General features: G+C 43.2%; 1 long non-coding RNA gene across 2 annotated transcripts, besides 2 other annotated features; it reads left to right on the top strand.

The window, feature by feature from the left end:
* Positions 7,874-8,390: an enhancer, noted in NCBI's record as "H3K4me1 hESC enhancer chr6:160023547-160024063 (GRCh37/hg19 assembly coordinates)". NCBI's record gives its function as "activates a minimal SCP1, AML or CMV promoter by ChIP-STARR-seq in naive H9 embryonic stem cells {active_cell/tissue: H9 hESC(naive)}" and the evidence as "EXISTENCE:reporter gene assay evidence [ECO:0000049][PMID:30033119]".
* LOC105378085 (uncharacterized) lies at positions 15,273-23,952 on the top strand. 2 transcript variants are annotated; one of them, XR_943179.3, is made up of 3 exons: positions 15,273-16,802; positions 22,482-22,736; positions 22,950-23,952. It is a non-coding gene; the product is annotated as an uncharacterized LOC105378085 (long non-coding RNA). The 2 variants fall into 2 exon arrangements; XR_001744434.2 differs by lacking the exon at positions 15,273-16,802 and having other exon boundaries at positions 20,946-22,736.
* Positions 15,476-16,675: an enhancer, noted in NCBI's record as "P300/CBP strongly-dependent group 1 enhancer chr6:160015262-160016461 (GRCh37/hg19 assembly coordinates)". NCBI's record gives its function as "activates an origin of replication core promoter dependent on BRD2, BRD4, P300/CBP, MED14 and CDK7 cofactors, with strong dependence on P300/CBP, by STARR-seq in HCT116 cells {active_cell/tissue: HCT116}" and the evidence as "EXISTENCE:reporter gene assay evidence [ECO:0000049][PMID:35650434]".
* Positions 23,953-24,714: the final 762 nt, after the last annotated feature.

The raw sequence follows: 24,714 nt of genomic DNA, 5'->3' as shown, positions 1-24,714 counted from the left end.
CACTGAACACAACTTTAGACCTTTGTTGTCTGGAGATGGTACCAGAAGAATCTATAGGAGCAAGCTTTGCTAACTAGCCTTCGTCTGCCATTTATTTGCCTTTTACTAGTTGCTGCCCCTAGCAACTTTTCCTTTGTTTTGTCCTTTTTTTTTTGTTTTGTCACTTCTCTAAAAATTAACTGTTCTTTGTTGAAGACTCTATATAAGCTGAAATCAAGGCTACCTCTTGGAGAATTACTCATTCTCTGGGTGTCTTATATGTCATGTATATACAAGACATACATGTTCATAAGCTTCTGTTTGTTTTTCTCTTGTTAATCTGTCTTTAGTTCTAAGGAGTCCATTCCAACTAAGAACCTATGGGGGTTGAAGAAAAAATATTCTTCCCCTACACATCTAAAGGAGTGACTCTTTGAGATCTCCTGGCACACACTAAATCGACTGCTACTCGACCATTCGAGTGTCCCTTGAATGTGGTGTTGGTTCATGGAATCTCTGCTATAATTCATCCAAAGAAACTTTGTACTTGGCCATAAATAATACTGTGCCATTTTTGAGTCAGGGAAGACTCTCATTCAACCTAGGTGGGTGTTCAAAGTAAACCATCTCTCAAAGCCAACACATGTAGAAAAATAAAGTTTTACCCTAATAGGCTTTTCTGTTTCCAATGAAGAATGAAACCTGGAAGATGGTGGGAAGGTAGCTGGCACCTCTGAGAGTCAATGTGCAGGACAAATGAAGCATCTGAATCTCACATCCTGGTTTATTCACTGGGGCATGAGCTTGAGGGTAGATAATACATATTTTCCTCTCTTTGTAAAAGGCCTGGACTGGGCCAGATGACACTTGGAAGCTGACCTCAGAAGGCTCTGTTTGGAAGGCTGTTGTGTGTCATATGATGAAAGCTGTGGGGATGGTGACCAGGCCAATGGTTCCCAGTGCCAAGCTTGGTCTCCACAGCTTCAACTTCATTCCAAAATAATTGAAAACATGTGGTAAAATATGCATTTTCTTAAGGTTCAGAATTTCCTTGGGATGTACTTTCCATACTATTTTCGTTTAAAATGCTGTGGCCAAAAAAAGTTTGTATGTCAGTATTTAAGTGTTTTCAAACAAATCTTTTAAACATAAAAATTCTGAAGGATGAACACAGGGCCGAATCATAGTTCTGAGAATTGAGGCAGGTGAGCAGCCTAAAGGAAATGGCTTAAAGCAATATTTCTCAAAGCAAAATGATGAGTTTTGTCATTACAGTTTATAATTTAGTCCAAATGTCTTATACGCCTGCTCTCTTAAAAATAATTCTTACATCTGGACATTATGTTTGTGACATCCAACAAAGAGGAAAAAAAGCATCTGCCCATATTTATCCTGCACAAGTTTCCATCTGCAGCAGAAATAACAGCGCCAAATGTTCATAGGGACCAAGCAGATAAAGAATGTGAGGGAACCCAGCTGGGGGTGACTGTGACCACCAGGAGAGCAAGTGCCCATTTAAAGAGAGTTGCCATTTAGAAAGACAAATCCTGTGTTGCCAGGGGTTCTGATTTTTCAAGATACGCTGGAAATTAACATTTTAATGTAAAATATCCTGACTTTTAAAGTTTTTGAAATTAAAGATAGAAGTACAATGTATCGTCCAATAAATACCCTTGAAGGACAGACTTGGCCTGGGGCTATGAGTTTGCAATCTCTGGTCTGCAAGGTGTGCTGCTGGTCTGAAAAGTTAGGTGGCAGCAGAGCCCCACTGGCCTTGCAAAAGGATGGGACAAGTACTCATCAAGATACATTGGGGTTTCAGGGTTGGGGAGTAAGGTTTGTACTATCTCTGTTTCCAGCAGTTTAGTGGGAAGAATGAGAGACAACTTTAAGATGAAGTCAGAGAATGCAGCAATGCACATGTGGGTAGAAGTAGGTGAGGCGAAAAGCGAGTTCCAATGAGAAGAGAAGATCTGGAGCCATGGCCACTAGAGAGCTTGCATCACATTGATGAATGGCTGAAGAGGAGCTTAGAAGAAGCATTGGCTGATGCCAACATCTGACAAATATTTACTCCTGGGTAGTGCTTTTAGCTCTCTCAAGACAGAAAGATAAATATCTGTAGTTATTAACTAATTGTCTTCAGGGCACCTTGTTACCTTTCTCTTCCTCCCCAGCCTCACTACCTCAGTAAACTCCAATTTCTTTTTTATGTTGTATCTCAACCAGTTGATCATTTAGAGTTGACTGCACTCACAGCTGAATCTCTCCCATGATTGTAAGCTCACTTCAAATAAAAGGGCCCCCACCCTGTTCCCTATACTACCTTTGGGTACTGTCTAATTAGATATGCCATGATTACAGTTAGAAGAGTGAGACCAATCAGGAAAATGAGAGAGTTTTCTTGGGCTGAATATGAAGATTCAGAAGCAAATAGGGTAAAAGGTGGGATGAGGTTCATAGGTCAAATATTCTAACTCTAGTAGGTAACTAACTGTATGGGAACTTACGGAGCTATCCTAGCCTCACCAGGCCCACTGATATGAAGTGTCACAGGCTGGGAAGAACCTGAAAAGTCCTCCCACCTCCACTGTATCCCATGTAGCTGAGACCAAGGAAAGGCAATGTCAATTGTCTTTTAGAATCAGACTCTAAAAAAGAAAAAAAAATGTCCAGAAGATTTCTAATTCTCACCAAATTGGAGTAAAACTATTGAAAAAAGGATGCTAACACTATGCTAATGGGAACATTAATCCAAAGAAAACTGGGATGGCTATAATGATATCTGACAAAGTAGATTTGAGAACAAAGTAATTAACAGAAATAAAGAAGATCATTTCATAATGATAAAGGGGTCAATTCAAGAGGTTATAACAATTATAAACACTTATGTGCCTAATAACAGAGCTTCAAAACATGTAATGCAAAAACTGATAGAACTACAAGGACAAATAGCCAGGCCACAAGCATGTTAGAGATTTCAATACCTCTTTATTAATAATGAAAAGAACAAGTTGACAGAAAAATTGTCAGAGATATAGAAGAGGACCTGAACAACACTGTTAATGAACCTGACCTAATTAGCATTTATAGAACACTCCACATAACAATAGCAGTATACACATTCTTTTCAAGTGCACACAGAGCATTTACTAAGATAGATCATATAATTAGCCATAAAAGAAGTCTCAATACGTTGAAAATAAGAATACTTATACAGTAAATGTTCTCTCATCTAATGAAATTAAATTAGATATCAGTAACAAAAAAAATTCTAGAAAATCCAGATCTTTGAAAATCAAACAACACACTTCTAAAAAACCTCATAAATCAAAAAAGAATTCAAAGGAGAAATTCAAAAGTGTTTTCAACAGAATTAAAATGAAAATGCAGCAGATAACAATTTATGACATGACACTAAAGTAGTACTTGGGAAAGTTAGGGCACTAAATTATATCAGAAAAGAAGAGAAGTCTTAAATCAATGACTTCACTTTCCAACTCAGGAAACAAACGATTTCTTAAAAAGCAAATTAATTTCAAAGTAAGTAGAAGAGAGGAAATAATAAAGAAATTAATAAAATATATACTTGAAAAACAATAGAGAATATTTATCTTTGAGAAAAATTAATAAAATTAATAAATCTTAGCCATACTGACCAGGAAAAAAAGACAGAAGACACAAATTGCCAATAGAAAAAATGAGAGATGTGATATCATTACAGATTCTACAGATATTAAAAGATAATAAAGGACTATTGTGAACAATTTTATGCCAATAAATTTGACAACTTAGATGAAATGGGCACATTCCTTGAGAGATGTAAATTACCAAAGCTCACTCAAAAAGAGATAGATGACTTAAATAGTCCTGTATGTATTAAAAACATTGAATTCGTAGCTATAAAATTTCCCACATAGAAAACTTCAAGCACAGATGGTTTCACTGATGAGTCATACCAATTATTTACAAAAAAAATTATTCCAGTTCTACCCAAATTCTTCCAGACAATTAAAGAAGAGAGTACTTCGTATGTCACACTGTGAAGCTAGCATTACCTTATAATAAATGATAAAGGATAATAAAACCAGACAAAGACATTATAAGAAAACTACAGACTAATATCATCATGAGAATAGTTACAGAAATTCTTAACAAATTTTTAGTAAATTGTATCCAACAATATATAACAAGAATGACATGTTATAGCCAACTGGAGTTTATCCTAGGAATGCAAAATTGGTTTAAAATGTAAAAATCAAACTGTATAATTCACCACATTAACAAACTAAAACAAAAACAACAAAATATCATAGCAAAAACAAAAAAAAAAACCTAAAGTCAAATCATGTTTTCATTGCAATAGACCAAGAGAAAGCATTGTCAGATTCAGTATTCATTTATGATAACATCTCTCAGTTAACTAAAAATAGAAGGAAACTCCAACCTGGTTAAAGGTGTTGATCCAAAAAACCATTTCTATTCTCATTTGCCTCGTAAACAAGTACCGCACAGAGCAGCGGATATAGTGGAATTAGTTTAAGCTTCTAGGTGAGAAATAAACTTGAATTCAAATTATGGCTTTTTTAATGCTGTGATCATAAACAAATTACGTAGCCTTTTTGGCTGGTCATGGTGGCTCATGCCTATAATCCCAACACTTTGGGAGGCCAAGGCAGGAGGATCACTTGAATCCAGGCATTCAGGACCAGCCTGGGCAACACAGTGAGATCCCATCTCTAATAATAATAATAATAATAATAATAATAATAATAATAATAATAATAAAAAGTAAATAAATAGCCTTTCTGAGCTTGAGTTTTCTTATTTGTAAAACAGATAATGAAGCCTATGTTTTGGAACTGTTTGTGGTACAAACAAGTTATCTTATGTCACTGCCTGGCACTGCTTACACACATTAAGTACCCTTCCCCTTTTTTTGTTCACCTGGTTCTGATGAGGGTGAGTTGGCAGTTTTCAGCATCTTTATTAGACACAAATGCTCACTGCAGATCTGCTTTGGGTGAGGCCTCTATGGGTTTCCTCTAATGGATTATAAAAGCATTCATCTCCTCCATTATGGAATGATCTGGTAGGGTGGAATGGGGAAGAGGTTAGGAGGCAATTAGAGGAAGATAGAACATCCCTAGTCTTCAGATGGGCTCTTTCTGGAAAACTCAGCTAGGGTTTTGGCAATAGACTCTTGTCCTGGACTTGCAGAGCAATGGGTGTTCAAGCTTAGATTTCTATCTAAGGTTACATTTCAGGGCAGAACACGTAGGATGCTAATCCATTGAGACAAGTATCTTTACAACTCAACAGTGAGGACAACTTTTAAGTTCCAAAATGCTCTGATAGAAAGCACTTTGGGAGGCTGAGGCAGGTGGATCACCTGAGGTCAGGAATTCTAGACCAGCCTGATCAACATGGTGAAACCCCGTCTCTACTAAAAGTACAAAATTAGCCAAGCATGGTGGTGCATGCCTATAATCCCAGCTACTCAGGAGGCTGAGACAAGAGAATTGCTCGAACCCAGGAGGCAAAGGTTGCAGTGAGCCAAGATCATGCCATTGCACTCTAACCTGGGTGACAAAGCTGGTCATTTATATGCAGTTAGTCCCATCCATTGCCTATAGGGCTACTATACTGTACTTAGTAATGGGGACATATTTGGATTTAGGTTTGCCAGAGGCTGGTATTTAATTTTTGCTCACTAACTGCATGCTCCTTGGTGATTCTGAGGGCAACATAGGGCTTCCAAAAGAGGTGTATTCATCACATTAAAGAAGAAGAGATAACTTGATGGCTGGGACCAGCAGGGCCCCTGCCTGCCAATAAGCACCTGTGTCAAGTACTACATTCCATGATGCACACTGGCATATTAAAAGCTCCAAGAAACCTGGCAGTGGAGACAGAAGCTGACTTCCAAGACAGAGGTTTGCGTCAACAAGACATTGACATGGCGGCTGTGAGAACCAGAGGAACATCCCCCTACACACACACACACCCACCCACAAACACACACACACCACACCATGTACACACCACCCCTATCATCCACACACACACACCACACACACGTTCACACCACACACCACATACACATACATACTATACACACCACATATGCACCACATATACATTCACACCACACACACACACTGCACACACGTTCACACCACACACCACATACACATACATACTATACACACCACACACCACACATCCACCACATATATATTCACGCCACACACACATTCACACTACACACATTTACACCTCACACACAGCCGTGACGTCAGGCCTGAGATGCCAGTAGGGAGAAGGCAAGGAGGGTGAAGAATGGTCTGGAAAGAAATGAGGATAACATGAAACAGATGAAGTTTTAAACCAGGAAGGGCTTCTCCTGTTAAGTGGCCTGCTAACCATGGGCTCCCCTGAAGCCAGAGGGCCATCGCTCACTCTTCTGGGCCCTCAAGGTAGAGTGATCTTTCCACGTTTCCTTATTTCATAGGACTGTGTAAATAGCACGAGGGAAATACTGACTCAAGAGGGTACATTTTTCAGTTTGTAGTGAAAGTGTTATTTCTCTGTCAGAATGCATGATGTCCTTCAGCCTCCTAGCCTGTCACCCCTTCTATGGGATAAAGAACTTCATAGACAAAAGGGGGTAAAGAGATTTAAACATTTTTGTGAAGACCTTTAAGTGTGCAGAGAAGAAGGGAGAAGTGAATTCCATAACATGATACCCATGATGAGGGAGAAGATAGAGCTGGTGTTTGAAATGATCAAACATTTCAAAGATTCAAATATCAGACACACAAAATAGAAGATTATGAAAAAACTCATAATGTTAAGGAGGCAAAGCAGAATTCCATCCTATTTCTATTTTTATTTGTTTAATGTTTATTTTAGGTTTGGGGGCGCATGTGAAAGTTTGTTCCATAGGTAAACACGTGTCCCGGGGGGTTGCTGTACACATTATTTCATCACCCAGGTACTAAGCCCAGTACCCAATAGTTACCTTTTCTTCTCCTCTCCTCCCTCACCCTCCCCATGCAAGCAGACCCCAATGTCTGTTGCTTTCTTCTTTGTGTTCATAAGATCTTCTCGTTTAGCTCCTGGAAATTCCATTTTATTTCCTGCTATAATTTATTGCAGTTTAGACATATGAATTAGTGGTAATTCCTGCAGGGTCTTCAAGTCTAGTAGATAGACTTTATCTCAGTTAATATTCAACATGAGGACAGCCATTGCCATGGTTTGAACGTGTCCCCAAAGTTCATGTGTTGGAAGCTCAATCCCCAACACAATTGTGTTGAGAGGCAGGACTTTTAAGAGAGGTGATTAGGAGATGAGGGCTCTGCTCTAGTGAGTGGATGAATGCTGTTCCTGAGGGAGTGGGTTCGTTATTGAGGATGGGATCCTGACATGAGGATAAATTCGGCCTCCTTCCTCTCTTGCTCTTCTACCTTCGTCCATGGGATAACACCACAAGGAGGCCCTTACCAGATGCAGGCCCTTGATCTTGGACTTCCCAGTCTCCAGAACTGTAAGAAATAAATATCTGTTCCTTTATAAATTACCCAGTTTCAGGTATTCTGTTAGAGCAGCACAAATCGGACTAAGCCGGCCACCTCTCCCTGTTTCTTGTATCTTTCACTGGGAAGTTTCCAGGGCCGACGGTGAAGGACGGGGGCTCCAGCAATCACACCGCAGCTGGAGATGGAGGCAGTCAGAATAACAGCTGGAGACCTGGTACGTCGACCTAGGGGTTAGCCTCAGATAGGAAGCCTGTTGTTACCCTCTTTCCGCCGCAGAGGTACCAGGGGACCACTCCCAGGGCGCTGCCAGCCAGGCCTGGAGGTGCCTGCCCATGCCGCGTTGCTGTGCTCTGGCAGGTCCTCACCTGGGGAGCCTCATGGAAACTCAGCGCTGAGCACCGAGAGCCAGGCGCGGGCTCCAGCAGCCAGGACCACAGACCTCCTGGACTTCGTGCCCCTTGTTCTTGCTTTTTACGTGGAGCGGGCGGTGAGGAGGGGTTGGCCTAAGGGTGGGGCTGCGAGGTGGGAGGGGAACATTTGCCAAAGTGTTTCCCGAGAGCAGTCTCCTAGCTAGAAACAGATGTTCTGGTGGCTTGCTGGCCAAAAGCATAATGTAAAAACATTAGCATATATATCCTTCAAAGCATTCTGACTTTACTTTTCAGTTCTCAGTAGCTTCTCTCATGCTTTAAAAACGGAGCGGAAACCAGCCTTTTCCTGGTGCGCATTTTGTGGGCTTCAGTCAGCTGCAGGTCCAGCGGCTTCTGCGCTGTCGGGGGCCTGCACCGCCTCCCTGCTCTTGTTTAGTCTCCTTTTTCATTTGCAGGGCAGCGATTCCCAACTGCGGGAAGGAGCTTAGATGTTTTTGGCAGTTCCCGTGGAGAAACCCTGTATAAGTTATCGCCAGGAGCTGAAGGGATTGAGTTATTTCCCAGCGGCCTCGTGACTGGCGGTGGGGTCAAAAGAGGAGTGTGGTGGAGAGTGGAGACTGGCACCCAGCGCTCCAGCCCCAGGGAGGGCAGTGGATTCCCAGGGACCCCGGGACTCAGTGGGGGATCTTACTTTACTTCTGGGGTATGAAGGTTGGCATCTTGTTCAGATGGACTCACAGATTAAAGAAAAAAATAATAATAAAGATCTGCTGGAAGGGAACTGAATCTGGTCATATTCCCTCCCGGCCTCCTTTCGGATTGTTAAGCCTGATGCTTTTGATTTAGGGACCATGAATTATGGAAAGGTAGTGATTTCAGACTTTAGAGATCATCCAATTTAACCTCATTATTTTATAGAAGAGAAATCAAGGAAGAGAGTTGTTCAATGAGTTTCCCGTCTGTTAGGGTGCAGTCCCAGCTCTCTCATCCTCTTTCTATAGCACCCAAAGGTCCCCGTGTGTTCCTTCCTGCTTCCTTCTGAACCAGACCAAAGGGTGTGTTTTCTTGTGTCTTTTGCGACCTCCATGGGTTTTGTCCACGTTGCCCTTACATCTGCCACTTGCACCCAGACCACGACCCCTCTTTCCTGGCTGTGCGTTCCTGTAATTTAGTGCACATTTCCTGCTAACAAGTACGAAACAGGTGCATAGTCAAGATGTAATATGTTTAGAGGTTACTGATTCTCCGAGGACTTCCCCTGAAAACTCTGAGTGGTTTAGAGGAAAGAATATTCACTCCACAGACGCATATGCTTTCCAGGTAATTCGATCCTTTGTCTTATTCTGACCAGCTAGAGGGTGTCATTTTGGCCCTCTCACTCTGGCCAAGGCTTCATAATCCTTTCTTCATCTCTTTTTCTCCCCTACTCATCCTCTGGCCCCTATACCATGAGGTGAATTTCTACAATTTACGAACACTTCGCTTGCAAAGTAGATTTTGATTTGTATTGGAAAAGAATTCCCCAAGGAAGGCCAGCCAGCCCCCAGTCCTCTTTCCACCCATGCTTTGCTGCTGCTGCTCCGTGGAGAATGGCTCCCTCCGATGGCTTTTGTAGCGGTGGCTAGCTGGGAGGGTCTTACTGCGTCATGGAAAAGCCAGGCTAAGGAGGTGGGGGTCTTACTGAGTGACCCCAGGCTCATGAGATTCCTCTCTCATGGATCCAGCTGTTTCATCAGGCCCTAAGCTGCTTTTTTCTTTTATATAGTAATGCTAAGCATGTCTTTTCTTTCCTAGACAGTGCTTCATCCCTGATTTCTGGGAGGTTAGCTTTGAAGAAGCAGGATAGACTTGCACCCAAAATTTGGATGTTGAGACTGATGATGCCACACACATACAAAGATACTGTAAAAAGGTTTATTACACACACTATCAGGCTTTTGGGGAGAGCAAGGAAAGCTTCCCAGGTTGGTCTGAAAATGTCTTGTGAAAGCAGGGAAAGGAGACTGGCTTGAGGTTTTTATTATGGCCATGGGTGGGGCTGGGGTGAGGGTTCCAGTGCATGGGAAGGGGCTTGCACGACTTGCGTGTCCTGCTGGTGCCAAAGAGGGAACACCCAGGCTTCCTATCAGCCTGCTCAGATGTGGGAGCTGGAGAGGGATGGGTGAGGCTTAAAAGCCCCACCAATCCACGGAGCCAGACTCTTTATTACAGCTTATTTTAGATTTATAAATATTTGTTCAAAACATGAAAAAAATTGGTGCCAGACAAGATATACCTATCCTTGACAGATAACCAAATCCAGGAGTTCAGAAGTTCTTGAGTAACAAAGCCAGCAACACAGGGTTCAATCACTTTTTCAAATACACAACATAAACCAAGGCATCTACTCACCTTAAAAAATATTCTGGCCTCATGATATTCTCTTTTCGCTTGGAAGTTTAAAGTAATGACTTTCTTGGGAAACATATGAGATGATGAAAATAGTTTTTATCATTTGTTTTAATATTATTGCCTTATTCAAAATCTCAACGGTCTCATGATGGAATTCAAATCAAAATGAAGATCTGCATGTTACTAATTTCCAAATTTACATTTTCAGTCCAGACCCTCACCTGAGGTCTAGACATTACTCCCAAGCATATTCTTCATAGTTCTGTTTGGGTGTTTAGAAGGGATCTCAAATTTAACATGTCCCAAATAGAGCTGTTGATTTGCCCTCTAAGCCTGACCTACCCCCTACTCTCCCATCTCCGTAAGTGGCATCACCATCTTCCCAGTTGCATTATCTGAAATTCTAGAAGTCACTCTCAATTGTCCTCTTTCCTTCACCCTCCACAAGTCTTGTGGGTAGAGTTATGAAACATAGTCAAGATTTAATGTGTTTAGAATCTCACCTCTTCCTTCCCTCCTAAAAGCCCCTGCCTCTGCTCCTCTGGCCCTGTTATTGGTTGAATGATGTCCCCCAAAGGCTATCTTTAAGTCCTAACTCTCAGGTGATTTTTGAATGTAATCTTATTTATAGAAATCAGACCTTTGCAGATATAATCAAGGTGAAACAAAGTTATGAGGGTGGGGCCAAATCCGATCAGACTGGTGTCTTTACAGCAAGAGGAGAAGGGACAGAGTTACACAGGAAAGATGGCCGCATGACGATGGGGCAGATCGGAGTGATGCTGTCACAGGCCAGGGACTGCCTGGGACTAATAGAAGCTAGGAAGAGGAAAGGAAGGATTGTCCCCTAGAGGATTCAGAGGGAGCATGGTCTTGCTAACACCTTGATTTTGAAGTCCAAGCCTCCAGAACAGTGAGAAAATAAGTATCTGTTGTTTCAACCCACTCAGGTAGTGGTACTTTGGTACAGCAGCTCTAGCAAAAAACACAGGCCCTACAACCACTTTTTCACACAGTAGCCAGAGGGACCTTTTCAAACCTAATGCAGAGGGTGTTCCTCCTCCTGCACCAAAACCTCTGTCAATTTTTCTCTGAACTTATGATAAAAACCAGACTCTTCACCAGCACCAACAAGGCCTCACGTACCTGTCCTGGCTATCTCTGATCTCATCCCATACTTTTCTCAGCTTTGCTCCTTATCGTCAGCATCAGTGGCCCATTGAATAAGGATGATGTGACTGGCTGCCTTGGGGTCTTTGTACTCACTGTTCCTGTGGTCCCAAAGGAATCAGCTGGAGTCACTCCCCATCCCCGCATATTACCCTGTTTCCTCCAGAGCACTTACCTTGATCTGGTAATCCTATCAGATAAATAAACTAAAAAATCCTAGTTTATTATTTGCCCCCCTCCTGCTCTGTGATAAAGTTCATGAGAGCTGAGCCTTGTTTGTGTTTAAGCCCGGACCCATTCTTAGGAAGCTATTGGGCCTTCGATTCTCCTCTCTGGACAACTGAAATAGACTGAGATTCTAGAATTCTCTCAGGTATGGGGAATAAAAACAAACACTATTTCTCTGGGAAGATATGAAATATGGAAGGATATAATAGATGCACCCCAAAAAGACCCATACTCATTTTTCTTAAGGATTTCTTATTCCAGATAGGATATTTGGCCTTTGATCCTGGTTGGCTAAAAAAAGAAGAGGTGCAAAAATGGGAAAATGCTTAAAGTTACATACACTGTGACTTTGTGTAACTTTATTACTATTTTGGGTTTTGCAAATTGAGTCAGTTGGTGATTTATGAAAAGGATTTGATTCTGTCCTTCATTTCTTATGTAGACAGTCTTCCCTGACAGAGTGACAAGATGTGATATGCCAGGCTATGGGAGTCACTGTCCCTGCTGCCTCTGGAATGATGAGGAATAAATAACCAGAACCTGTTTGCGTGGCTGCCAACAATGTGCCATGGAAATACACCTGGCCCCTCACACCCTTGCTTGGCTCTGCCGGAGTTTGTTCCCCTTGTCTATGAGGCAGAGAGAAATTGCACTCGGGCAGTGAAGGGTCTCTTGTGTCATACAGAGACTTGAACAGCATCCATGTTCCTGGGATAGGAGGGCTATTCTGCTATCCTTTGATGCAATATAAAGGCTTATTTTCATTTTATTTTATTTTATTTTGAGATGGAGTCTCACTTTGTTGCCCAGGCTGGAGTGCAGTGGTACGATCTCGGCTTACTGCAACATCTGCCTCCGGGGTCCAAGCAATTCTCCTGCCTCAGCCTCTCAAGTAGCTGGGATTACAGGTGCTCACCACCATGCCTGGCTAATTTTTGTGTTTTTAGTAGAGATGGAGTTTCACCGTGTTGGTCAGGCTGGTCTCAAACTCCTGGCCTCAAGTGATCTGCTGGCCTCAGCCTCCCGGGCTGGGATTACAGGCATGAGCCACTGAGCCCAGCCTAAAGGCTTGTTTTTAAAAAGATCCTTTTTACCAACATGCAACAATGCCTCAAGTTCTTGCAAATGGTCACCTCTTTGTGTTTGGAAGCTTTTGTCTCTAGAAGGCCCTTATTAAATGGCAAATGGGTTAGCTAAAAGAATTCCAGAAACTTTGGACACATGAACCAAAGAAGTGAGAATAAGTTAATTGTTTTCACCATAAAAGGTATTTTTCTGACTGTGGTAAAGACAAGTGAACTGTTGAAACTCCAGCTCCTTTCAGGGTCACCTGACTCTTTCTCCATGTCTCCAAGGCTGACTGTGGTTTGTGCAAGAATAAACTGCCTGAGCCTTCGCTGACATCTGAGGCCTTGACTCGTAAGATGCTGCCGTGAGCCCTAGGTCCTCCTCTCTGGGCTCTGCATCGCTGCAGAGTGAGCACGAGCTCACTGGGAAAGGGCACCTTCCCGGCGGGTTCTTCATTCTTTCCAGGGAAGGCACAGGGCCACCTTCGCTCCCAGATCCAGATCCACCAGGGACTGACTCCCGTGGTGAGCACAGCATATGCGCCACCGGTGGTGCTGGTAAACCATTAGCAGAGCAGCTTTTCAGACTTGTTTAGAAAGTGGTCATAATCTAAAGTTGGGTGGGGAGTAGATGGAGTTCCTGGGGCAGGGAGGGCAGCCTGCGTGGAACACCGGCAGGTCCCTCATGAATGGAGACCCGTGCAGTCACTCAGGGCTGCAAGATCAGAAAGGGCTTTGTGCTTGGGGCTTAAGGCTTTGTGTTTGTCATCCTGAGATTCTTAATCTTATTGGAATTTGCGTTTTATTTATTTATATTTTTGAGACGGAGTCTCCCTCTGTCACCCAGGCTAGAGTGAAGTGGTGTGATCTCGGCTCACTGCAACCTCTGCCTCCCAGGTTCAAGCAATTTTCCTGCCTCAACCTCCTGAGGAGCTGGGATTACAGGCATGCGCCACTACACCCAGCTAATTTTTGTATTTTTAGTAGAGATGGGGTTTCACCATATTGGCCAAACTGGTCTCAAACTCCTGACCTCAAATGATCTGCCTGTCACGGCCGCTGAAATTGCTGGGATTACAAGCGTGAGCCACTGTGCCTGGCTGGAATTTGCATTTTGTAAGTGAAGTCCGATGGGAGGGGTGCACCAGGTATTCCCACTGCCTCTCTGGGACTTGCTCGCAGTCGCATGCACCCAGCCTCCTGGGGTACCTGGCCCTGCGCAGCTTCCCTTTGCACTCTGCTCCAGAGCCCTGTCTTTCTCTGCCTAGGGGTGTTGGTGGGGAGGTCCATGGCCTCCTGTCACTCTCTACCCCTGTGTGCAGAGGAGTCGGGTGCAGCATGGGCCCTAAGTGCCTTGGCCTGCCCTGGGATGGTGAGCGACTTTGGGGCCTCTCACCTGCTCCTGGTCTAGGTACTGGGCACTTCCAAGAGCCAAGATTGCAATCCCTTGGGACCACCCACTCCCCAAGGTTTGGGGCTGAGGGCCCATGGGAAGCAGAGATTCCCCTTGTGCCCCCAACTGGGGCTCTGCATTTTCATTAAAGAGGTAGAGATCAGATTAGCTCTTCTACTTACTGCTTTCTCTGCTGGTTGGTCCTGGTCTCAGGCGATAAAGCTTCCCTTTAAGAAACTTTACCAACATTGTTCAGACTTCTAGCCTTTACTCACACACACAAACACACACACACACACACATATATATATATTTTTTCTGCCCTGGAATGTCTTCTTTTGGCCTCTCATGTTTTTTTAACTTCTACTTATATTTTAAGGTTTATGTCAAGACTCATCTATCTCTCCCCTAAGACTTCCAGCCCACTGTGGACCACAGAGCTGGTTCTCTGCATGGAACTTGGTGTTTCATCTTCTCTAGTGTTATTTGCAAATTAAACATAGATTTTCTGTTGTATCTTCAGTGTTCATTGTTTGGGGTTGTTATTTAACTTGTCGTATGTTTATGTTTTGTTTATATCACTCTGTTCTTGGCTCAGTCTCCAGGGTATGGTAGACACAGGCAACAATATGTATTGATTACACATTGGGTGTGTCATGGGCACATTTTGGAAAATAAGCAAAGGATTAAGGCCACACTTCCTGTAGAAGCTACTGATTGGTTGAAATCAAGTGTCTGATTTAAGTGATTTGGGGAAGAAGTAATGATACATTAGAAACTGACAATTAAAAAAGAAATCTTAAGTGGGGCGTGGTGGCTCACGCCTGTAATCCCAGCACTTTGGGAGGCTGAGGCAGTAGGTCACCTGAGGTCAGGAGTTCAAGACCAGCCTGGCCAACACGGATAAATCTTGTCTCTATTAAAAATATAAAAATTAGCCAGGTGTGGCAGCACATGCCTGTAGTCCCAGCTACTCGAGAGGCTGAGGCAGAATTGCTTGAACCTGGGAGGTGGAGGTTGCAGTGAGCCGAGATCATGCCACTGCGCTCCAGCCTGGGTGAGAGAGAGACTCTGCCTCAAAAAAAAAAAAAAAAAAAAAAAAAAGAAAAGAAAGAAATCTTTCAGTCAGAAGATCGTGATTTCTACAGCAGGGGGCTCATTTGATGTGAGCTCTGTTTTTAGGAATCACTGGGTTATTGTATCTCTGAATGATTAAACTTAACTCTCACCATGACATGAGGGTATCTCTCCTTCCAGATCCGCAAATAATGTTTTGTATACCCAAACATGAGGGTGAGTAAAATCTGGGCACTCAGGCAACAATGCCACATCATTACTCAGCTTTTGAAAGTCTGCCCAGCCTGGTGAGGGTGTATTTGGTACTTTGCCCTCCTCTCTGCCCAGTTTTCCCCTGACTGGCGATTTCCTGCTGTCTCTTGAATTCCTGTAGCTCCTACTGCAGCTTGCGCCACAAGGGGAGTCCCCAAATACTGTGAAGCACCCAGAACTCAAAGGGTTTCATTTCACTAAAGAATGTTCCTTTTCTATTTCTTCCAGTGTCTGTGGATGAACACTACACCATTTGCTCCATTTTCTGAGAATTTCTCAGTGGATGCTTTAAAAACCAAGGATGAATTCAGCATCTCTATTTTATGTGGAAGCTGTTCTCAGCATCATTTGTTTTCTTACTTGGGTGGAAAAGATAGCTGGGTAGGTGTTTTCCTCCCAGGGCCTTCTGAAGAGTTTAAAAACAGAGACTTTGGGTGTTGAATGAAAGGTCCCTATTCTTTCCTAAAATACTCACAGAATCCCATGACTAATATATAAATAAAGATTGTTGTATTAGTCACCCAACAATGAAAGAAGAAATCCTCCCACTTCTCAAATGCTTCCTTTCAGAGTAACCTCAATGACCTGACTGATTCATGGAACTAATTTGTAACAATAATAAAGATGAAGCGGGACCCCAGACAAGCTTTCAGAACTCCTCCAAAGACCCTCACTGCCTCATCCCGCTCTCCCGTTCCTCGGCCTGCAGCTGATGCCTTTGAGGAAGCCCCTGTTTGTACTGACAGTGGCCCAGAAACCTCTTCCCCTTGCTCAGACAATTGCCCATGTGGCCGCTGCCAACTTGGGGCTTCCTGGACTTCACAAACTCAGGAGGTCTGAGCTCAGTGACACCCTGCATCGCCCCTGCTCCCTGGGCTCCTGCCCTGAACCACAGCTCCCTGCTTGATGAAGAAGGGTCAGCCACCTCAAGGTTCACTTCCGGGCAGAGGCCACATCTGTTAGGAAAGAAAATAGATGAAAAGCATAGTTAGCAAGTGCCTGCTGTTGGCCAGGCACCGAGCTAGGAGGTGTCTTATTCCTGTGTCATCTTATTTCATCATGTAAATGGCCCTGTGAGGCAGAGATGGTTGTTTGAATTATACAGAAGGAGAAACACAGAGTCAGAAAGATGAAGAAACTTGCTGAAGATTGTATTGTGTTCCAGTGGTCTCCAAACTGGGGTAGGTCCACTCTAGTGAAGGTCCCTGGTTAATTCCTGCTGATTAAGCACTAACCACATGAGACTCATCCAGCTGGCCAGTTTCCAGATGAAACTGTGGTGGGTAAATTCTTTGGAAAAGAAAATGGAGTCCATTTCCACATGACCACAGTAAGTCTCTGTTAATTAATGACTGAAAATAGCTCTGTATGTTCACATAGGATCCAAATTTGCTTCAATAATTATTCAAATATGGAACTAGGAGTTTCAGCTACAGAATACAATCTCTCAGCATTTGGAATATAGACATCTTATCTGGCCTTCCACAAAACTCCAGTGAAAACACAAACACAAACATCACTCAAGTTTCCACACCTTTAGTCCCAGTTATTCAGGAAGCTGAGGTGGGAGGATCGCTTGAGCCTGGGAGTTAAAGGCTGCAGAGAACTATGGTCATGCCACTGCACTTCAGCCTGGGTGACAGAGCGAGACCCAGAGCAAGACCCTATCTCAAACAAACAAACAAACAAACAAAAAACAAAACTCAAGTTCCCACTTCAATTCCTGGTGTGTTTTCTGGTGGTAAAGAGCTTCCAAAATATGTATATTGGGCATATATTTCATTTGTTAGCCTAGTTTCTCTTCTGTTGGGGAATAACTGTAACAGTAGCTAGTATTTATTTATTTATTTATTTATTTATTTAATGTTTTGAGACAGAGCCTTGCTCTGTCGCCCAGGCTGGAGTGCAGTGGCATGATCTTGGCTCACTGCAACCTCTGCCTTCTGGGTTCGAACAGTTTTCCTGCCTCAGCCTCCCAAGTAGCTGGGATTACAGATGTGCGTCCCCATGCCCAGCTAACTTTTGTATTTTTAGTAGAGATGGGGTTTCGTTTTGTTGGCCGGGCTGGTCTTGAACTCCTGACCTCAAGTGATCTGCCTGCCTCAGCCTCCCAAAGTGCTGGGATTACAGGCGTGAGCCACTGTGCCCGGCCAATAGCTAATATTTATACAGCCCTTATGAAGCACCAGGCACTGCCCTAAGCGCTTTACATATATTCATTTATTTAATCATCATAGCAATTCTATTGGGTGGGTACCATTATCATTCTCATTTTATATGCAAGGAAATTGAGGCCCAGAGAGGTTAAGAGACTTGCCCAAGGACACATGGCTGGTAAGAGGCAGAGCCAAGACTTCCCAGGCAGTCAAGACCTAGAGTATGCTCAGCCCCTGGCTTAGAGAGATGATGGGATGGTTAGGTTGTAACTGGTGACATTTACGTTTAGACAGATGGTCGGATTGTTGAGTGTTATGGCATGCCAAAGTCAAATGCAAGTCCCCCATTATGTGGAAATCATAGTTTATTGAGAACTGACCATTTGCCAGGCTCTATGGTAATCTTTATAGATGTATTTAGTATTCACAGCAATTCCAATCTTTCTGACTACAAAGCCCATAATTTTAACCAGTACCTTACACTATGCAGTGGTGGCTCAGAGTTGCTTCACTAGTTTCTTAGTTATTGCTAAAGCCAATTGTTATTTCCACATGGGTGGGTTTAATATTCGCGTTAGGTGAAGTTTGTAGTCAATAACAGTGAGCAATATGAAGAAGTTTAAACAAGCGAGATGAATTAATTTCATGTGCTTTGAGCTCTTATAAAACCTACAGGCAGAGGGATTTTAGAGATCTTCTACCAAAAAAAAAAGTCCCCCTTGTTGAATGAGTTTGCATTCTTTCCTCAGGTATTTCAAATTACAGAACCCACCACTTTTCCTTTTTTGCCAAAGTGACCAGAAAGCTCACAGTGTATTTGAATGCTCACTCAAAGTAACTGTATTAACAGATTTTTTGGTGTATTTATTTCTTTTTTTGTTTTTTTTTTTTTTTTTTTTTTTTTTTTTTGAGACAGAGTCTCGCTCTGTCGCCCAGGCCGGACTGCGGACTGCAGTGGAGCAATCTCGGCTCACTGCAAGCTCCGCTTCCCGGGTTCACGCCATTCTCCTGCCTCAGCCTCCCGAGTAGCTGGGACTACAGGCGCCCGCCACCGCGCCCGGCTAATTTTTTGTATTTTTAGTAGAGACGGGGTTTCACCTTGTTAGCCAGGATGGTCTCGATCTCCTGACCTCGTGATCCATCCGCCTCGGCCTCCCAAAGTGCTGGGATTACAGGCGTGAGCCACCGCGCCCGGCCTGGTGTATTTATTTCTCCTTTCACATATATTCTGCTTCAGTCCTTTTTTTTTTTTGTAGCTGGGACTACAGGTGTGCACCACCACGCCTGGCTCATTTTTGCAGTTTTTGTAGAGACAGGGTTTTACCATGCTGCTCAGGCTGGTTTTGAACTTCTGGGCTCAAATGATCCACTGGCTTCAACCTCCCGAAGCTCTGGAATTACAGGCATGAGCCATTGTGCTCAACCCTGTTTCAGTCTTAATGGTATAATTATATCTATATCTCAGTACATGCAACCCTGGGTTGAATACATTTTATTTATTATTTTTTAAAGTATATTTATTTATTTTAGACAGAGTCTGGCTTTGTCACCCTCTGTCACCCAGACTGGAATGCAGTGGCGTGATCCCGGCTCACTGCAACCTTCACCTCCTGGGCTCAGATGATCTTCCCACCTCAGCCTCCTGAGTAGCTGGGACTACAGGAGCACACCACCACACCCAGCTAATTTTTTTTTTTTTTTTTTTTTTTTTTTTTTTTTTTTTTATAGAGACAGAGTCTCCCTATGTTGCCCAGGATGGTCTCAAACTCCTGAGCTCAAGTGATCCACCCGCCTCGGCCACCCAAAGTGCTAAGATTACAGGTGTCAGCCACAGTGACTGGCCTTAAGTTAGATACATTTTAAAACAGAGAAGGTACACTTGACTGCTTTGATAGTCCAGGGAGGAAGAATCCTCCTTGTGCGTGAGGGGAAGTGAGTTGCCCCTGATGGTTGTGGGCAGTTCCTGGCCTGGCGCTCCAAGGCCCTCTTGCCCAGTCTTTCTCATTCCAAAATACATGATGCTTCTGGTTTTGATAAGCAGCTGAGACTTGATTCAATCCCTACTGGAAACAATTAGGAGAAAATAATTTGCTGTTGTAAGATCAAGCAGGGGAAACAGTCCCTGCTGGAACCATGTGTTTCTTTTATCTGGGATGCCCGTAACCTACAGAGCCCACATTCCTTGAGTTGGAGGGAAGAGGGATTATCTACTTCCCATGGCTCCAGCTCCACTCAGACCTGGCAGCTCACTGCCGTGGACAGTCCAGCGTGTTGTACTCACAGGTGTGGACCTTGGAGTCATACAAATCCAGATTGAAACCAGCTGTACCGCACAGCTGCCTTGGGAAAGTTGATTAACCTTTATAAGCCACATATGCTCGTCTGTAAACTGGGAACACTACTCTCTAAAGATATTGTAAAAATTAACTAAGGTTATGTTTGTAAAGCAATTAACACAGCAAATGAGAAAAACGGCCCAAAAATGTACATCAGCAGAAATATTACTATTTTATTGCAGTGTTATTAAAATGGAAGCAAAGACTTTATAAACCTATGTTTCTCCTCAGAAATAGCAGGTAGCTTTAAGTCCAGCAGCCCCTAACCCAAGATGGGCCACCAAATGTAACTTTCAGTCTTTCAAGCACTCATGGGACATTTAAAAATACTTCATGATGTACTTGACGATAAAGGAAATCTCAACAAAATCAAATAATTTAATATTGTTAATAACACAAGTCTGACTGAAATAGCACAGAATTTAAGAGCAACAACCAAAAAGATAGCCAAAAAGATCATGTGTTTTATCAGTGTTTCAAAAGCTGAATAAATAATTCTAAATAATTTATAAATCAAAGAAAATATCATAATAGTGAATTTAAATATTTTGAACTAAATAACTGTAAAAACACTATCAAAAATTGTGGGATGTAGTTAAAGGAATATATGGAGGGAGATTTTTGACTTTAAATGTTTAATAAAACAGCGAGTTGAGTTTCAATTTAAGAAGTAAGGAAAGGCGGGCAGATCATGAGGTCAGGAGATCTAGACCATCCTGGTTAACACAGTGAAACCCCGTCTCTACTAAAAATACAAGAAATTAGCCGGGTGTGGTGGTAGGCACCTGTAGTACCAGCTACTCAGGAGGCTGAGGCAGGAGAATGGCCTGAACCCAGGAGGCGGAGGTTTCAGTGAGCCGAGATTGCACCACTGCACTCCAGCCTGGGCAACAGAGTGAGACTCTGTCTCAAAATAAATAAATAAATAAATAAATAAATAAATAAATAAATATAAAAAACAAAAAAAAAATAAAAAGAAAGAAGTAAGGAAAAAAGCAACAGTGCAGACCCAAAAAAGACAGGGACAGAAGTAATAATGATAAGAGCAGGAGTAACAAAACAGAATTTTAAAAAGCCACAGGGGACTAACACTAAACTAAATCTGAGCACTCCCAGTTTTCTCATCTATAGAAAGGAGGGGATAGTATTGACCTCAAAGTAAAGGTGTGAGGGACACATGCCGTAATGGGTGCAAAAGGACTTTGTGAACCGCCGAGAACTATTCGCATGCACTTCCATTTTTATTTTGTTTATTCAACACATATTTACTAATTACCTGTTCTGTGCCAGGTGACTTGTCTGGCTGTGCGGGTACAATGCCTCCTTGGACCTTACTCTCTATAGGAGTTGTGGATCTTAAGCGGGTCACTGTATGCTGTGCAGGAGATGTGCACTGTGTAAGGAGAGCGCATGGTGGAGATATAGCCTACTCAAGGATGTTAGGAAAGTTTGGCTGGAAAATGAGGTTCAAGCAGAGATCAGGAGGTGGAGTGGAGGGAGAAGTACTGTGAGCAAAGGGAAGACCAAGTATGTGTGTAAAGAGCAGGAGGCTGGGCCCAAAGTGTGTAGTGTGGTGGGAGATGGGGTTGCAGGTGCTGGAAGGAGCTGTGCAGGCTCTCATAGGCCGTGTTTGGGTTCTTGCATTTTAAGAGCAATGAGAAACTGTTCTGTTGTTTTAACCAGGGGACAGGATGGATTGGAAGGAGACAGAATGAATGTAGGGGATTATTTATAAGGCCATGCATGGTCCAGGTGAGAGATGAGATGACAGTGGCTTGAATTAAGATGACAAAGGTAGAGATGGGGAGAGGTGGATGAACTTGAGAGCTATTTCAAGGATAAAATCTAAACGCATACCCTGGAGTTCAGGGACGTGGATTAGGACACCCTACTGGATCCCATGGAGAAGGATGATTCAAGGGATATCTCCCTGGGGGGGTGTGGTTCTTGTTTGTGGACCCACTGGTTTATTTACCAGAACATGGCTCTTCTATGCTATCGTTTTTGCATCTTGGGTCAAAAGACAACAAGGTTGCTGACCAGGTGGCCTCTGGTCTGGCATCCTCTGGCCAGGCGGGTCCTGCTGCACTTGACTGAGAAAGCTGGCCGCTCGGACTACTGCTACATTTGGTTGAAATTTCTTTTTCTTTGTAACCTAGTAATGCAATATACCTGGAGGTCCATTTATATTATTAAGCTTTTAATACATTTCATAAGTAATATCCTACTTACTGAAAACATTTACTGTTTAGGATTTTCATTAGATCACTTGGATAAATGCAGAATTCCCTTAAAGTTGACAACAATGAGGAAACTTACAAAACAAGTGATTTGTCAAAAGCTGAAATCTGAAAAATTATGTTAGTTTTGGAGGTCTAGGTAATTAATACGGTTTGGAAATAGAGGATCTTAGTGGGTTATAAGCACAGTATATATTCATGAATCGGGCTTTCTGGGAAGATGTGCCACACACTCAACAGACCTGATTTCCTTTCTTCCTGCGACTGCATTTCCCAGCCTCCCCTGCAGCTAGGTAAGATCATGTAATGGAATTCTGGCCAATGGAATATGAGTGGAGTTAATGTGGGTAACCTCCATGATGGGCAAAGAAACACCTCCCAGGAAAAAGTCTTGATTTTTCCTCATGTCTGCTGACTACATATCGACTCTTGAATAGACTTGAGTATCTGCTGTTGAAGGATGCAGAGGCTCTGTCAGCCTGGGCCCCTGAGTGACTTCATGGAGTATACCATCTCTCCAACTGGATTTTATGTAAGTGGAAATAACGTTCTACAAGGTTAAGCCACTGAGATTTGGGGGTTTGCCTGCTACAGACATTTAGCTGTAACACATATTAATCTGTATGACTGGCTAAGTGCAGTTGAACCAGGTAGTCCTGGTCTAAGAACTCCTTTTAAAGATCGTCATGTTTCTAAGCATCTGTTTTCAGTGTACCTGGTCATTCTCACTTACCTGTTCTTTCAGCTTTCAGTGGTTCAGTTTTTCTCCACTGTTTCCACCAAAATACCATCAACAGTAAGGAAGAACAATGTGGACCACCAGAAGGCTGGAGTGTTTTCTGAAGCTGCTCCTGCTTGGACTTTGGTTGGAAGTCGTGATTGTCTGAGGGTTCATGCTGGCGCTCCCCCAGTGAACCTAGCTCACCTACCCTCTGCTCTGGCTCTAGTCTCTCTTCCCTTCTTCTAAGGGAGGCTACTGCTGTGCTCAGTGCGGAGCTGGGTTCAAGGAGAGCTGGGGCTCTGAAGGAGTCGTGGGGAGAAGGCTGACATGAGTCCTGAGTGAGTGGACCTGCTCTCTCTGGCCCTGAAGGGGTCAAGAGGCAACTGGGTGTGTGGGCTGAGTCTTTCCTGGCCCTGAAGCTGGAAGTAGAGGCTTTGTGCAGGATCCTCAGCAGGGGACTAAAAGCCTGTGCTTTCATAACCCGAGCCACACTGGCAAGTGCGCTGCCTCCTCCCACCTTTGAGACAGTTGCCTTCAGGAGCACATCTACCAGAAGCCAACAAAGAAAAGCAACAGCCTCTTGGAGGGGCCTTTCTCCAGGGAGAGAAGGGTGAGGCAGCACAGGCAGAGCTGGTGTAGGAGACACAAGACAGTATGAATTTCAAAATCAGAGCATTGAAGGAGATTCAAATATGGCACAAAAAGAGTTTCTGGAGCTAAAAATCATAATTTCCTAACTAAATACCATTCAGTAGATTAACTGAAAAAGTGGAAGATCACCGTGAAGATATGGTCAGCTCTCCTGGAGGGTCAAAGGGCAGACAGACCCCTTGATGAAAAGGGTGGTATAGAGCAAATGTAGAAAGAGATGGGAAGCAAGTAGAAATGGGTAAGGAACATGGGATGGATCCTAAAACCTTGACTTGTGAATAGAGAAACCTTGACTTGCAGAAAGAGGAAAAAATAGAACCAACGGAGGAGAGGTGACCATGATACTAACAATAAAAGAAAACTTCCCTGAACTGAAGCAAACCTGAGCCTCTGTTTTTTTTGTTTTCAAATTTAATACACTATTTTTAAGAGAAGTTTTAGATTCACAACAAAATCAAGCAGAAAATAAAGAATTCCCATGTGCCCACCCTCCATAGCTTCCCACCCTCCTTCCCACCCTCCATAGCTTCCCACCCTCCTTCCCACCCTCCATAGCTTCCCACCCTCCTTTCCACCCTCCATAGCTTCCCAAACTATCAACATTTCTCACCAGCATGATACATTTGTTATAATTGATGAGCCTACATTAACACATCATTATCAAAGTTCCTTTACCCAGGGTTCCCTCTTGTTGTACGTTCTATGTGGGTTTTAAGGAATGTATCCACCATTATAGTACCATACAGAGTAGTTTCACTGCCCTAAAAATCCCCTGCCCTCCCCCTACTCAGCCCTTCCTCCCCAGGTCCCTGGAAACCACTGATCTTTTCACCATCTCTATAGCTTTGCCTTTTCCAGAGTGTCATATAGGTGGGACCACTCAGCATGTAGCCTTTTCAGATTGGCTTCTTTCACTTAGTAATGTGCATTTAAGGTTCTTCCACGTCTTTTTGGTGACTTGATGGCTCATTTCTGTTTCGGCACTGAATACTATTCCATTATCTAGATGTACCACAGTTCATTTATCCTTCCACCCACTGAAGGACATCTTGGTTGCTTCCAGGTTTTGGCTATTATGAGTAAAGCTGCTGTAAACATCCATGTGCAGGTTTTTGTGTAGATATAGTTTTTCAATTCA

This window comes from Homo sapiens, chromosome 6, assembly GCF_000001405.40.
Source record: "Homo sapiens chromosome 6, GRCh38.p14 Primary Assembly".
Classification (NCBI taxonomy): Eukaryota; Metazoa; Chordata; class Mammalia; order Primates; family Hominidae; genus Homo; species Homo sapiens.
Note: the sequence above shows the minus strand (reverse complement) of the source record. Positions and strands in the feature narration are given on the sequence as shown.